This window comes from Homo sapiens, chromosome 12 (genome assembly GCF_000001405.40).
Source record: "Homo sapiens chromosome 12, GRCh38.p14 Primary Assembly".
In the NCBI taxonomy this organism is placed as follows: domain Eukaryota; kingdom Metazoa; phylum Chordata; class Mammalia; order Primates; family Hominidae; genus Homo; species Homo sapiens.
The window spans coordinates 97,760,110-97,777,453 of NC_000012.12; positions in this window are offsets into that span (position 1 = coordinate 97,760,110).

Consider the following 17,344-nt stretch of genomic DNA (forward strand, 5'->3'; position numbering starts at 1 on the left):
AAGTTCAACTATGCTTTATACTTGCTGGTTCTGGGAACATAAAGAGTCAAGATGTTTTTTCTGCAAACTCTCTTTCTCTGCTTGCCCACGGTCCAACAAGATTTTAATCTTCCCATATTCCTATTACAGTTTGCTCGGCTCAAATTTGGAAGTGTTTCCAGTATCAACGAGCTCTGGTCAGGAGGGATTCTTGTATGCCCAAACCTCAGCACAATGCTGAGCACACAGTCAGTATGCAATATATTTATATCAAACGAATTAATGAATCAAATAATCTTTAAATACATTAGAGAGATATCCCTGCAAAATCTCTTCACTCAAAATATCAAGAAAGCAATGATCTCAAGGAAAATAAAAATAGACTTAAATGAGGAACAGGCACAAAAGTTCACTAATGCGAAGACCTCTGACATACTCGGGATGGTGCTACAGAGGGAGGCAGAACAGAGAAATAGGCCAAAAGATGTTGGACGTAAGGTTATTCCTCATAGAGGAGTATGATATTGCAAGAGACCCCCCAAAAGCAGTCTAACATACTGGCTTCATGTTTTAGTCAGAAGAATCGTGTCTTAAAAGAAGATACTCAAAAGAGGACTACAAAAGACAACATAAAGCTTGATTAGTGTAGAAAACATTTTTGCACAGTTAGACTTCCAAACATACTCCATGGAGATGTCCCCAAATAAAGACTCCCTGTTCGGCCAAGTTTAGTCAGCTTCCTCTGAGTCCTCTTCTTGACTAGGCTTCAATTTTTAGCAAGAATCCCGCTAAGTCATGTTGGCTATAATCTCTCCCCTTTGATATCAAATTCCTCACCCACTCCTCTTGATACCTAAGTTATTGGCCCACCTTTAGCAAGCATCCTGTTAGGCCAGTTTAGCAATAATCCATCCTCCCATCCTTGATATCTCGTCTTGGTAATTTTCCAACTACTGACCCCCTCACTCTGGCTATCAGTCCTCAATTGTCTTTGCTGTATTTAGCATTGAGTTAAACTCCTTTATCTTATTGCAATATTTTTCACCCCTATTACAATAGCCTTAAATAAAATCTTTCTCACCTTTTTTTTTTTAAAGTGTCAGAATAACTTTTTCTTTGACATCCCCTCTTTACTCACTAGTCATTCTTCCTCCCAGGCTGCCTTTTCTGACCTCTGAAAAAAGAGGGACAGTGGCTGCTTCTTCCTGTAGCACCATCCAGAATATTTCACAGAGGTTCTCACACTAGTGAGATTTTCTGGCTGCTCCTCATTCAAGGGAGACTTGGTTTTCTTTGAGACCATGGCTTCCCTGATATTTTGTGAAATGATATTTTGTGACGATATTTTTCTAATTCATTTATAGATTATTTGACTCATTTATTCATTCATTTGACAAAAATATCTTGAGTGCCTACTATTTTCTCATCATCATGCTGGAAATTAGGCATACAAAAATTTGTAAAACTCATAGTCATGTATTTTTTAGGTTAATTTTAAATTAACTTTTAAATTGTTTAAAATAATTTAAGCAATATATTAGCAAAAATCTAATACCGTCATGCACAGCCCTGCTCTCTCACCTGTAATCTCCCTCCCCGGAGAGATTCTTGCGATTTTTCTCCAAATTCAAACATAAGGGAAGAGGTACAGGAGGGTCAACCAGATTTTCTCCTCTGCAATTTGAAACGGAGACCTCATGGCTATTTCATCTTCATGTCTTTCATTGAAAGTTTTAACCTAATCCTGATGTCTGTGAGAGGAAAATAAAAACTCAGGACTCCAATTCACTATGCCAAAAGAAAAAATTAAGCTGAAAACGGTGTCATGCAAGAAGCTGCCTTGCCTTTTGTTCCTTAGCAAACAGCTACAGATAAAAGGTTAAATTGTTCCCACAAGTAGTACTCTTGTGTTCCCCTTATCTTAGATAAGGTGCTGGTTTACTGAGCATGAGATGAATACACAATTAACTATTACCCTACTCCCTCCTTTTCTCTTGCAACATGTGGATTACCATACCCTCCCTCTTTTCCCTCCAGCCCATTTTTCCCCTTTAAATACTGAAGATCTCAAAATCATCTTGGAAGAAACAGACCCCAGACTATTTCTGTGATTCTATGTTTATTTCTTCCAGGCATGTCTTAAACTTGGCAAAACAAACTTCTAAATTAATTGACAGCTATCTCAGATAGTTTTTGGTTTACATGTCAAAGGAGTCAACCTTTATGTACAGTGTCTAGCACGCTGTAGGTGCTTCATAAACATTTGCTGAATGAGTCATCCTCCATACAGACACCTTGGCTAATCCAAGAGCACCTGCTACTCACATGGAAACTTCTATACCTACTTTGCCATCAATGACAGTTCTCTCATCTGACCTACTCTTGTATAATAAATACACCCTTGTGTGTATATTTTCCATACTATTTTGTTAATCTTGTCTTATACGTATATCATGTCTTTCAACTAGAATAAAACCTTCTTGAGTGTTCAAGGGTGCAGCTTACGTTGACAATGTGCCAGACTTTGGACCAGGTCCTGGGGAAGTGATAATAGTCACACACATACTTCTTTGAGAACTTCAAGTGAACTAACTCATTTAATTCTCATTACAACTCCATAAGGCAGGTACTATTATTAGCAACATTTTGCTGCAAGAAAACTGAGACACATGGAGGTAACTTGCCTTAGCCTATCCAGCCAGTAAGTGGTGGACACACAAAGTAACTTGCCTAAGCCTATCCTGCCAGTAAGTGGTAGAGCCAGGTTTCAAATCCACAGGGTTCAACTCCAGATTCCACGCTACTGGTGAGGTCTCTGTTTTAAAGTCTGACTCATGGTAAGTAATAAATACTTTCTGGTAAATTAATTTGAATATATGGAAAGATCACATTTTCCCACCATTCACTCAATCTTAAAAGAACTGTGTTGGAGAACATAGGTTGGCAAGTTTGACATCTTTTTAGCTGGTTTGCTTGAAGAGACGCCTGCTGTTCTGGAAATAACTTCAGCATGACATTGTGTTTTGCCAGCCTCCCAGCTAATTTAAACCGTGTGGGTCACAACTATAAATGCTCTGTCCTTTTTCTTGTCGGGATTCTGAATTTGCAGGGCTTACATAAGTAGATGTTGTTAAGGCAAGAATGAGAGATGATTTGATTCGGGTATATTTGCTCAGGAAGGGAGTGCAATAGAGAATTAGCCCTGAGGGGAAGGACATCCGATATCAGTTTTTCATTTTCCAGATAATTCACTGTGCCTCTAAGCAAGTCATTTTACTTCTGTCTGCCTATGCGCCCTTCTCTAAAATGTGTGAGATAATTCCTATGCCTCCCGGAAGCAGATCAAGAGGCTAGATTATTTAAATACCAGAAAAAATAGGATAAAAAATTCTATGATTACATGCTCTTACAATACTACACAACAGCAGATTTACAAAAAGTTTGAAAGACTCAATACCTTGAAGCAGCAGGCAGCACATCCACAAGATTAAGGTAAGCGGGGCTGCTTACCTACTTATAGGCACCTGCTCTGGATCCCTGAAGTTCAACAGAAATAGCCTTTCAGAGTCTCTTCTAGAGGTACCAATATAAAATATCAGGAGGGGCTTTACTTCAGAATCTCACGAATACAAAAGAAATTGTTTAGAATGACATGAATACACATTACAAACAGACTAGAACATTATTATATGTACATAAAAAATGACAAATTCAGCCAGATGCGGTGGCTCACGCCTATAATCCCAGCACTTTGGGAGGCCAAGGTGGGCAGATCACGAGGTCAGGAGATCGAGACCATCCTGGCCAACATGGTGAAACCCCATCTCTACTAAAAATACAAAAACTAGCTGGGCGTGGTAGTGTGTGCCTGTAATCCTAGCTACTCAGGAGGCTGAGGCAGGAGAGTCACTTGAACCAGGGAGTCAGAGGTTGCAGTGAGCCGAGATCGTGCCACAGCACTCCAGCTTGGCGACAGAGCCAGGCTCCATCTCAAAAAAATAAATAAATAAATAAAAATGTAAAGTCTATGCACATGAGGTTCTAAAAAACCTCAATAAATAAACTACCAGTTTTTCCTTACTTAGAAACTGATGACAACGCTTAACTAAATGGATAAAAAAAAAAGGCTCTGTTCTCATTTACTATGGATTTGTTTTTTCTTTTGTTTTCCTTTTCTTTTCTTTTTGTTTTTCAGAGTCTCAAAGACTGGTGTCTCCAGGCTGAAGTGCAGTGGTGCGATCTTGGCTCACTGCAACCTCTGCCTCCTGGGTTCAAGCGATTCTCCTGCCTCAGCCTCCTGAGTAGCTGGGATTACAGGCACGTGCCACCACACCTGGTTAATTTTTTGTGTTTTTATTAGAGACGAGGTTTCACCATGTTGGCCAGGCTGGTCTCGAACTCCTGGCCTCAAGCGATCTACCTGCCTAGGCCTCCCAAAGTGCTGGGATTATAGATATGAGCTACTGCAGCCAGCCTTTTATGGATGCTTTATTGAGATTTTATGGATTCTTTATTGAGATTCTCCTGGTTTTGCATGTGTGTTTCTCATAACCTGTGCTGAGGCTGGTAGTTTCTTAGTTTCTTTGCATTATTCCGTATTACTTTTTGTACATGGTTTTCAGTCTCTGTTGATGTGTTGGTAGAAGGTTCATTCTAAGTGACATTTATCCATTGATAGGGAATTCAATGCCCTCCAACAGGCTCCCCAAGATGCCTATAGTCATAATGTTCTACTCCCAGACTCCTATGTCTAAGCCCCTCTGTTTTATTTGCTTTCTGTTGTGCAGTGTGGTAAGGAGACATATTTACTCATCTAGTTGGGAGCCAAGTTGAAGACAAAGACTCATTGTTTAGTACCTTCAAAATGCCATTATTCAACATAGCCCTGAAGTTGCAAACAAAAGCAAAACCAAACATCTTTATGCCTAATATTATCATACCTGTTATCATTTTCTTTATTGCCTTAATATCAATATGCCTAGGGGATCTTGACTTTCATCTGGATAATGAAATACAAAACCTGTTGCATGTGTAAGAAACTGATGAAGTAGAGGGAGGAATGGAGAGATAACTTCAGGAAGTGAAGGAGAACAAACTAAGTTGAATATCATATCTGGTTTTGCATTAGGGTTGTGGTTGTTTTCTTTTTTCTTTTCTTTTTCTGTGTGTGTGTGTGTGTGTGTGTGTGTGTGTGTGTGTGTGTGTGTGTGTGTTGAGACAGAGTCTTGCTCTGTCGCCCAGGCCTGTCGCGCCGTCTGGCTTACTGCAACCTCTGCCTACTGGGTTCAAGCCATTCTCCTGCCTCAGCCTCCTGAGTAGCTGGGATTATAGGCACCCAGATTGTGGCTGTTTTCCAGTTTCCTTCCATCTGAGGAAATACATATTTGTGATGTACCTTTGATGCAGGGAATTATTTTTGTTTACTTCTATCCCATTCCAATGATTCAACATTTTTCACAGTCATCAGGAGTTGTTTGGAATGTGAGAAAAAAGAATAAATTTCACACTTGAAATTCTGTGGAATAAGAGGGATGGATTAGCTAAGGAAGAGATCCAAATACACTCACCACATAGCTTTCAGACTGGGCTGTTATATTTCAAAGTATACACAGGTATGCTAGTATATGTTATAAATGATGAAGGGTTGGCTGGGCGCAGTGGCTCACGCCTGTAATCCCAGCACTTTGGGAGGCTGAGGTGGGCAGATCACGAGGTCAGGAGATCGAGACCATCCTGGCTAACACAGTGAAACCCTGTCTCTACTAAAAAATACAAAAAATTAGCCGGGCATGGTGGCGGGCGCCTGTATTCTCAGCTACTCGGGAGGCTGAGGCAGGAGAATGGCGTGAACCCAGGAGGCGGAGCTTGCAGTGAGCCGAGATCCAGCCACTGCACTCCAGCCTGGGCGACAGAGCGAGACTCAGTCTCAAAGAAAAAAAAAAAATGATGAAGTGTTGTCTCAATGCAAGGTAGCTGTTTTGATGTGAGAAGAAGTTAGATCTTGGCATACCCTTTGGCATTTGGATACATTAGCAGTGGACACTGAAACTTAGAAATATAGGCATGGAGCAAAATGAGTCTTCTCCTAGTCAATGTGCAATACAAGCCCATTTTACATTTGATTTGGATCAGTCTTTCTAATTTACCTGTTAGTCGGGCTCAGGATGGTTTGCCTGGCAGCATTTCCATGACATCACATCTGAGAAAATGCACCTGATGAGCTGTTGTCTGTGTACATGATGATGATACTTGTGTGCCGAGGTGAGAAAATTAGTTTTATGCTGTTTGTCGAGTGGTGAGGACAAGACAGTCCTGAAATGCAGTGAACTCATCTGTGCCACTATTGTTTCATTCTTCCCACAGGTGGGAGCCGAACTGTCTTGGGAAAAGGTGGGTTCCTTTTTTTACAATATTTTACAATATTCCACAGAGCAATGATGGGTCCTACAGAGTTTGTTGGTCGGGCTGAAACTGGAGTTTTTCCATCTGTTTGGGCACAGCATTAGCTGTAGCAGGATTCCTTTTATGCAACTGTTGTGTATGAATGGAGCAAGAATCTGCCTCAGTGCCAGGTGGTGTGGACAGGACATTGGAGGGGAGAAACAGAGCTGTCTTCAGAGTTGAATTTTGGCTCCTCTGCTTCCCAGCTATGTGAAGGACAGGTCACTTAAACTCCCGTAACTTTAGTCTCTTTGTCTCCCAAACACCGATAATAACACCCACTTTACAAAACTGTTTTGAGGATTTTTATGAGATAAAATCAGTATAGAGAGTGTTTAAAAATCGCAAATTTCCTTCCAAATATCATACTCAAATAACGTTTATTCACTCCAATAGCACACAACTATATATAAGTGTGTGTGTATATATGGGGGTACATATATACACATATATGTACATCGACACATATGTATGCATTTAGTGTTTTCCCTTGGAATATATATATACTCACAAGACACTAGTGCATTGTCAACAAAGAAGGGGAAGGGGGAGGAAATTTGCCATTCCTAAACACAATTCCTAAACACATATATACACACACTTATGTATAGTTGTGTGCTACTCAAGTGAATAAACATTATTTGAGTATAGTATCTGGTGCTTTCCCTTGGATCCAATTTTTTGCTTACCAAAAGCCAACAGTTTTTATCCAGTCTGGCTGCAGGATTAAATATCACATATTTTAAAATAAGAAAACAAATAAGGAACAGCCATTTATCCTAATTACTTTATTATAATAAAACTTTTGTTTTAAGGCAGTTAGTGAAATTTTAAGCATATAAATGCCTTACACACAATAAAAATAGGTTAGGCTTGCTACCAATAATTTCAACCTGAAAACCAAACATTTCACTTAGCCCTCATTGTACAGTATGTTCATTTAGTGAGGCTGCTTGGAAGTTATTTTTAAACTCAGCCATTTAAATCATCATGTCTAGCATACTGTCTAGAAGACGCAATGTTTCATTATCAAAAAGAAACATTATGTACTGTGGCATATGAGTCATTAAAGGAACAGCAGATATGTTGTCACTTCCAAATAATAAGGCTTGTTACCATTATTGATTATATGTCTTTATAGAACCTCTTATCTGAGAATCTCAAATAACATGATAATTGAACTATATAAAATTCCAATAATGCAGGGATTCTAACGGATTTTTGTATTCACAGTTCATGCTTTTATTTACTTAACAAAAATGTAGTGAGCATCTACTATGTGCTAGATAGAGTCCTCAGCCCTGGGAATTCAAAAATAAAGAAGACCACGACAAAGCCTTATGCAAATCAACTAGTATTTACACAAATCTAATTAGAAACTGTTTTAATGTCTGGTTTACTTTAACCTCCAGAGTAATCTCTGTACACTAAAAACCCTCCCTCTCTTGTAGAATTAAAAATAGAAGCTGTTGGGATGCGGATTTCAAAATAAAAAAGCAAAGATGATTTCTGAAAGCCACGTCATTTGTAAGAAACCAAGAGACCATTCAAAATCTTGCTATATTCTGCTTAAATATATTTTTGGTTTAAGGTAAAAATGGGAGAAATTTGGAGAAAATCCAAATTGGATTTTCGGGGAGGGGTTCTCTTAAAAGCTGTCAAGAATATTATGCTCAAAAAAACAAAGACCAACATAAGGTTTATATTTGGACTAGTGATTTAAATCATATATGTTGTCATTTATTTCAGCTCAGAGGAAAGGGAACATAGTCAAAAGACTATTAAAACATGTAATCCTTTTTTTCTGATAAATGTATAAGTAATTAGTTTTCTACTGCCAGAGAATTTCTTTAAAAGTTTTTACTCCATAAAGCTCTGAGACCCCAAAGTACTAGAAATATATGTACATACATACATACATACATATCGGGGGGTATGCATGTAACTGTGTGTATGTAGGTATTGTGTGTGTGTTTGTGTGTGTGTGTGTGTGTGTGTGTACTTCCTCAAGACTTTTGGATTTTTATCATTAATTCACAGAACTGTCAAAAGGTTGCTCTCTATGTAGGCCTAAATTAAATTAAGAAAATGTTGAAACAATGATCAATAAATAAAAACCTATTTTTAATGGATTTTGTATTGTTTTACATTTCTATTTTTAAAATGTTTCTCTGAAATGTCTATAACAATTCAAAATGATAATTTATTTTAAATTAATATATCTTGTTCATAGATACTGTACTATAGGTCTAATTTGCAATAATGAAAAGATGAAAAATGAATAGAAAAATTATACTGCCTAATGTGTCTTCATCACTAATCACACCTTCGGAATACCTACCAATAAAGATCATGAGAACAAAGTTGAGACTCTATTGTTTTTAATGGACACTTTATCAAAATTTAGTTCTAGTACCAGGGAGAAAATGAACATTCTTATAGCCATCTCGATAAATAGAAACATTTTATATATTCACTTAGGAAACATCTATTGAAGGCCCATATTATGCAGGCCCTGTTCCAAGGGATGGAAGTATCACAGCGACTAAGACATGACACACTGCCCTTTTGGGTAAACTGTTTGTCCAGGAAGACACACAAAAGCATAGCATGACCAAGACCAATGGAGCATTTGCAGCTCCATGAGACTTTGGACCAACTCTTTTTTGTTTTGTTTTCTTTTGTTTTGTTTTGAGACAGAGTCTCACTCTTTCGCCCAGGCTGGAGTGCAGTGGTGCTCTCTCTGCTCACTGCAAGCTCCGCCTCCCGGGTTCACGCCATTCTCCTGCCTCAGCCTCCCGAGTAGCTGGGACTACAGGCGCCCACCACCACTTCCGGCTAATTTTTTCTATTTTTATTAGAGATGGGGTTTCACTGTGTTAGCCAGGATGGTCTCGATCTCCTGACCTCGTGATCTGCCCACCTCGGCCTCCCAAAGTGCTGGGATTACAGGCGTGAGCCACCGCTCCCAGCCACAACTCTTACCTATCCATATGGGGAGCGCCAGAACATTCTCTTCCTGGAGTGTCTGTTCCCTTTTTTCCTGAACCAGCATTAATCCTACTTTCAATCTCAGTTTAAACAATACTTTTCTTAAGACACTTCCTCTAACCCTGCAGCCAAGTCTAGGTCTACCCGTTTGGTCTCCATAGCCCCTGTAGTTTGTTTTTTTTTTAAATCACAGTGCCTTAGAATTTTTTCTTTCCTGCTTGTACAGAAGTACCACAAAGGCAGAGTCTGTATGTCTTCCATTTCATACTGTACCCGACATCGACAGCAGAGATTCCCATAGCATTAGGCCCTGGGAGGAGAGCATTAGAAGAAATCTGCGCAATTGTGAACTTCCTGTTTCCTTGGAACTTACCCATTTTTATTGGATTCCGGACTTCACCCATAGCTTGCTCAGCTCCTTGTCTACTCATCTCCTGTCATCTAGAAACTGGTACTAAACTGCTAGCCTGTGGGGTGTACCTGAATTAGTTCTCTTGACCTCAAAGGGGCACCTGGAGTCTAAACGAATCTTCTCAGTTTGGAACAGAGACTCTCGAATGGTTGGCCTCCCAGTTGCTTCCCCATATGTGTATCACACTATCCCCCAGAGTCCTATGTTGAATTTTAGTTGAAGGCTTTCTGGTCAGAATTGATGTTTTGTCAAGTTACAGCGCTGACAGCAGGCCTGGCAAGCACAGATCTACAAAGAGACACCCCACATCAAAGGCTTTGTGTTTGGAATTTTGTTTCTTTTAATATTTAGGTTTAAATATTGATGAAATTTGTATCTGTACAAATTAGATGAGAAAACAAGGAGAGAAAAGGGCTTCCTAGATCCCATGAGAAAAATCAAGTAAGAGAATGTGTTTCCTTCCACAACAGGACACATTTTACATTTCTGCCCTCATAAATATTAAAATTTGAAGTCTAGCCTCAGTTATTTCTGAACAAGGATAACCAGATTTTTACAATGGGGAGAAAAGACTACATTGGCAATGCAACCAGATTTCTCGGTCTACTGGAAAAATACCAAAAATATGATAATTTTACCAAAATGAAACAACCAGGACAAGGCCTTTAGGAAGTGCACACACTAGCTCTGTAACACTGTGTTTGTACACTGAGATATAGTAAACACGATTTATAATATAAGTTCCTTTTACTTGCTATTGATAATTTTTCAAAGTATCTATGAAGTATACATTTCAAGGTATATATTATAATTCCGGCTCTCAAAGGATTAAAGGGGTTCTTTCCTGAGGAAGGGACTTTTCTGCCCAGTTTTCCCTTACAGCTAGGTTTGGGCCAATGTTGCTCAAAGAACAAAATTAATTAATGTGGAAAGTTAGACCGCAGCTTAAAGTATTTCTTATTCGAGTCCTTGAGAGTTACATGAGATTAAAGAGATAATTTGATATCTGAAATAAGTTAATTTGCTGACTCTTACAGTTATTTAAAATATGTTTTCTTGTTACCTTTCTTTGAATCAATGAGATAGTAAATATTTAAGAAGAAACATGATATAATTGTCTTCAAATATCTAATGAGAACACAACCAGCTGTTTTTATCTCAACTCCATAGAAAACAAATAAGAGAATGCATACTTACCCTGAGATAAGGCAGTGAAAAAGAAAAGATATTCTCAGGAGTGATTGATATACTAGGAACAGTAATAATAATAATTTTAAAAACCTAGAAATCATTTTTGTTGTTGTTTTGATTATCACTATATACTTTTTTCAGATCACAAATGTTGCATAGTTTTATAAAATTACATGTTGTGGAACTAATACCATGAAAAGTGAATATCACTCCAAAAGATAACTACTCTCAAAGCCTGGGTAGTTCTGCAACTTAATTATATATATATTAATTATCTTAAATGTCTTTTTATATTGATAATATTTCTTTTTTCTCCATTTTCATTTCTCAATTTTTCCTTTTTTAATTGTGGTATATTAGTAGTCCATTATAATAATGTTCTTACATTTTTTAAAACATTTTCCTAGTGATAATTTTTTTAATTATTTCTATTTGTGTGTTAATACAAACAATACTGCAATGGATATTTTTGTATGCATTTATGTGTATAAATTCTGGGAGTATTTCTGTAGGAAAAAGTTTCTTAAATGCTTGATCTCTTTAAAAAATTATCAGTTACTCTACTACTGCTTTCTGAAAGTGTATGCCTGTTTCCACACACCCTTGCAAGTATGGTATTGTCAATTTTTATAAAGATTCTACTAATTATAAGAATGAAACATCTTGTTTTTGGCTTCATTTGTATTTCTTTGCTTATTAGAGATGTTGAGTAATTTGCAAATAATTTTTTGTTTTTTATCAAAAACACTTGTCCTTTTTCTGTCTTTTCTGTCTCTGTTTTTTTTTTTTTTTTTGGTTTGTTCATTTTTTCTCCTATTGATTTATAGGAGTCCTTTATATATGTAGCCAAAACCCTCTTCCATTAAATATTTTGTAATGTTTTCTAACAGTATCACATGTATTTTAACTTCAGTCAATTATGCTACTTAAAGTTTACTTGCTCAAAGTCAATGGAACACCAAAGTGTGTACTCAGACTTCTTTTATCTTTTTGGCTACTAACAGACATATTCATGTTATTTTAAGTCTGAGGGTGGAATTAATATATTTTCAGGCATGAATTCACTCCAAAACAATTTCACCTCAGCTGGGCGTGGTGGTTTGCGCCTGTAATCCCAGCACTTTGGGAGGCCGAGGTGGGTGGATCACGAGGTCAGGAGATCAAGACCATCCTGGCCAACATGGTGAAATTCCGTCTCTATTAAAAATACAAAAATTAGCTGGGCATGGTGCCACACACCTGTAGTCCCAGCTACTCAGGAGACTAAGGCAGGAGAATCACTTGAACCCAGGAGGCAGAGGCTGCAGTGAGCTGAGATTGCACCAATGCACTCCAGCCTAGGTGACAGAGCAAGACTCTTGTCTCGCAAAAAAAAAAGAAAAAGAAAAGAAAAAAAAAGAAAAAGAAGAAAAAAATTACCTTTAAGTCCCCTACTTTTAGGAAGCTACCAGAAAATATTCTCCAAATATTGCAATAGGAAATCTTCCCTGACCCCTTTGCTGGCCTCACAACAGGAGTACCTTGCTTACTCATCCTGCAGCTCTCAACCCCTTGCAGGAGGGGGAGCATGCAGATGAGCAGGTGCAGGAGCCAGGATGAGTGCATCTGGGTGCTAGCAGGAGCAAAACTCTATCAGGCCCCACAGTAGTGTTTAGTGGGGGAGTACCCACAGCCCCCAAAGCCCCAGAGGGCATGTGTTACAGTGCACTCTTTTAGCTTTGCTGTACATGGATGGCTTAAGTGTTAGGCAACTCTGTGGGCCCTCTGTTTTTTTGCATGAGGTGATTACTCTCCACCAGCAAGGGCTGGTGTGACAAGCCTTTAGCATCTGCACTTGTGGCACCTGTGCTCTTGTTCAGTGTCCAGGAAAATTCAGGTCACACAAAAGAATTGAAGCGTGGTGAATGCAGAGGATTTTACTGGCAATGGAAGTGGCTCTCAGTGGGAAGGGGAGCTGGAAAGGGGATGCAGTGGGAAGGTATTCTTCCCCTAAAGTGTTGCAGTCAAGCCATCCCTCTGAAGTCGAGCTGCTTCTCTCTGACATTCAGCTGCTTCTTCTCTTCTAGCCTTCTCTGCTCTCTGCCAGTGAAGCATGTGGTTTTTATGGGTACAGGATGGGGGCGCAGAGTGGGCCATGGGTGGTTTTGAAAAAGGCAACATTCAAGTGGGAAAACAGGAATGCATGTTCTCACTTTGGGCCACAGTTCCAGGCTTGAGGGTGGGGCTTCAACAGGGACCCTGCCCTTTTCTGCCTAGAATTTCCCTGCCTCCTGTCCCTATGAACTTGAATAAGTAAACAAGTAAAATATGTGGAATCCAAGCCAAAATGAGTTCAACATAGAAGAGGTGTGATGAGCACTCCTAAGATGATGAGTGTCTGTGGGAAAACCAACTCAAACTGTTTTTTCCTTGGCTCTCACACCACAACAATCAATGCAGAAGACTTCTGTGACCAAATGTGGGAGGGTTTCTTCCCACACCACCAAGCAAGCAATCAATTTTGTAGGGGACAACATCTGGGTATCCCTCAATTCAATTCAATCCTGATGCTATCTACCTGGAGATAGCTTCAGAAACCACAGGCTGAGGGCTCAGTCACATAAGGCCACCCTCTCCTTCCCATCAGACCTGCCATGGCCTTTCCAGGGACCAGCCTCATCCCAAAGCTACCTAGGGGCTGCCAACCATCATCAACTCACTGGGATACAAAGACATCATTTTGAAGTTTCCACAGATTTTAGGAGTTGTTTACCAGGAAACAGAATCAAAGACCAAATATATATTTCACAGTGTCACAGTAAGGAATGGAATTACCAAAATAAGGGTAGGCAGCAATTCTAATGGTCAACTGATCCATACTGTGGTACATAGAGGCCTAGGAGAAGAATTTCCAAGGCAAAAAAAAAAAAAAAACACTAATAGATTACCTGAAGTATTTTACCATATAGAAGAGAATTTTACATTTCTTATCAGAGTTTGGGGAAAGAATTTGTGATAATTACTTTTCAAAATTAAACAAGCAAAACGAAACAATTTTTAACAGAGCCATACAGTAAAGGTAAACATACAACAAAGCCAAAGTTGTATTTTTGTAAATATTAATGAAATTTATAATCCCCCCAACAAGACTAATTAAGGGGAAAGAAAACTAAAAAACAAATTGTCAGCAATGAAATAGGAAGTATCTGTCTACATATACCCAGATTAAAAAGAAAATAAAATAATTAACAAAATTTTAAAAATAAAAATTGAAATTTAAATGTAATGTACAAATTCCTTAGAAAATACAACTACCAAAATGGATAAAAGAGAAATTTTAAACATTCCAATAGCTATTGAATAAATTGAACCCATCATTAAAGCTTTTACCACAGAAAAACTAAATAAACCAAAAACTGGTTCAGATAGCTTCACCAATTAATTATTTCAAACAAGTAAGGAAAAATAACAACAATCTTATTAAAAACTCTTCTATTCAGAGAACAGCATAAAGAAAAAAACTTCTCAAGTCAGTTTATGAGGCCAGCATAACCTTGATACAGGAAAGGAGCAGACAATGCCAGCCCACTATGTCTATGAATATCAGTGAAAAAATGGTAAACAAATATTTGCAAATTAAATCTAGTAATAGATAAAAAGGAAACTGCATCATGACCAAGAGGTACTTATTTCAGATATGCAAGAGGTGTTTAAAATTCAAAAACTAATTAGTATAATTGACCACATTAACAGGAAAAGGAGAGAATATATATGATTGTGTCAGTAGACACAAACAAAGCATTCTACATAACTCAACATTAATCAGTTATTACCAAATTAGGAATAAAAGGGTACTATCAAGCCCATCACCCAACCCTCCCCTTTGGGTTGCCCTCAGGACAACCCTCCAGAGAACTGCCAATCAGTATGGGAATCTAGGCCACTGGAAGGCAAACTGCCCCAATGGGCTAAATGGGAAAAAGTCTCAAGAGACCTGCCCCTTCTATTGGAGCTTGCTATTAGAAAAAGGACTGTCCCAAGAGCCAAAAAGTCCCCCAGGCCAAACTCCAATCCAATAAAGGCCTTGAGCTGAAGGGGCCCTCCACTCCAGCCAGCTCCCAGATGAGATATCATCATCAACAAGACAAAGCCAAGGGCAACTCTGGAGACTGTGAGTAAAATTATAAATTATAAATTTTAAATTATAAATTTCCCTTTTGGGTTCAAGAGCTGCATACTCTGTGCTAATGTTCTCTGAGCAACTCTCCTTCAAATCCTGTAATGGGGGCAAAAGTCTGATAAATAGTATCTATAGCACATCATCACTAAACATGGTATTTAATGAATTATTGAAAATTTTTCCCTGATAACTGAAAAAAGACAAGAATATCATTTCTTTTCAACATGTATTAGATGTCTTAGCTGATAAGACAAGGCAAGAAAGAGCAATGACATGCATAAGAATTGAAAAGAAAAATAAAATTATATAATATTTGCAGGTGATATAATTATATATATGGAGAAAAACCTTAAGAATCTATAGATAAGCCACTGGAATTTAAAAAGTAAACTTAGCAAGGTCACTGGATGCGAGAAAATCAATTATACAAGACTCCTATTCTGAAAATGACAAAACAAAGTTGAGAGAAACTTTTAAAGACCACAGAAATGGAAATATATATACTACATTCATCATAAATGGGATGACTCAGTATTTTAAAGATATCAATTCTCAGATCAATCTGTCAAATCAGTTAATGTCAAGTGAAATGCAGGAAGGTATTTGTGTGTGTGTGAAAGTTGACAAGCTGATCTTAAAATTTTTATAGAAATGCAGAGTTAAGAATAGCCAAAGCAATCTTGAAGAGGAAAAACACAGGAGAGAATTTACATTAGCTGAAATTATGCCTTCCCCTGAAGTTATACTAATTAATATAGTGTAGATTGGTGAAAGGATACTGATAGAGAGGAGAATCCAAAAACAGACCAGCAAAGATAAGGTCATTTGATTAATGAGAAGGTTAACACCATAATGCAGTGGAGACAGGATGATTTTTTTAGCAACTGAGGCTGGATCAATTGAATATCCACATGGAAAAAAAATGAATCTTTACCCTATTTCATACCATGCACACAAAAGCAGTTCTAGATGGAGTATAGATCTAAGTGTGAGAGGTAAGATGAAGCTTTTAAAATAAAACATAGGAGAACATCTTTCATGACCTTGAAATCAGCAAAAGGTAGGACACAAAATGCAACTAATCTAAACTTATATTTGCCAAAGGACATCATGAAGACAGTAAAAAGGCAAGGCCAGAGTGGAAGAATGTATTTGCAATTCATAAACCCAATTAAGAACTAGCACCAAAAATGTGTAAATGAGTCCCTCAAATCCATAAGAAAAGGCAGAAGTTCTGCACTTTTTACTTTCAACCATCCTGGTTTGTTCCTTTTTGCATTTTTTCTTCCTGAGCATTTATTTCATAGGATTTTACTGTTTAGTTTTTTCCTTTCTGTTGGTACTGGTGGGTTTGGGGAGGCCCCCAAAAGCCGGTGGGACCTCCACCCCAGCCAGTGTCCAGGTTCTTGGCAGCATCGCAAGAAGGAATTCAAGGATGAGTCAGAAAATAGTGAAAGAGATTTATTGTAAAGTGGGCAGACATCTTGCAGTCATGTGCAAGATGGTTGGGGGTTGCTACTTTTACATGCTTCTTTAACCGAAGCGTGGAATATTCACGGAAAAAGTTGGAGATTTCTCAGAATTGTGGTGCTACCCATTTTTACACTAACTACAGGTGTTCTTGGAACTGTCATGGCACCAATGGGTGTGGGATTTGTATGTTAATGAGCATATAATAAGGTCCTAGGTGAAACCTAGGTCAAATCCAGCAACATGTTGGGTCCAGTTGATCTTAGCCAGCTTGATCCACACTCAGTTTTTCAGGGTCTTGTTAAAGTAGGTAACTAGACCGACATAAGCAGGGCAGAAGAGCACCCCCGCCCACCTTAGGAATGTCAGGTGACCATCGGCTTATGGTCAGGTGATTGTCAAACTGTCTCTCTAAAATAATAATTGCTCACAGCTGGTGCCAGGGAAAGGCAGTCTCCCAAATAGATAAAACACCTGAAGCTGGCGATGAGCAGCTTCCTGATAAGGTCTCAGGAGTTGGGTGAGTGGGCTCAAGCATGTACACTAAGAGGCAAAATGGCAGAGTTTAACTGGTGTATGACCTTCCTCTAGGAACTCTTGGCTAATAAGGGAAAAACACCTCATGTGAGCATGTGCGTGACTTCAGTAAACACCTTGTGCATGCCGCCCCTCCCAAGTGCTGTCGGGCCACTGCACATGTG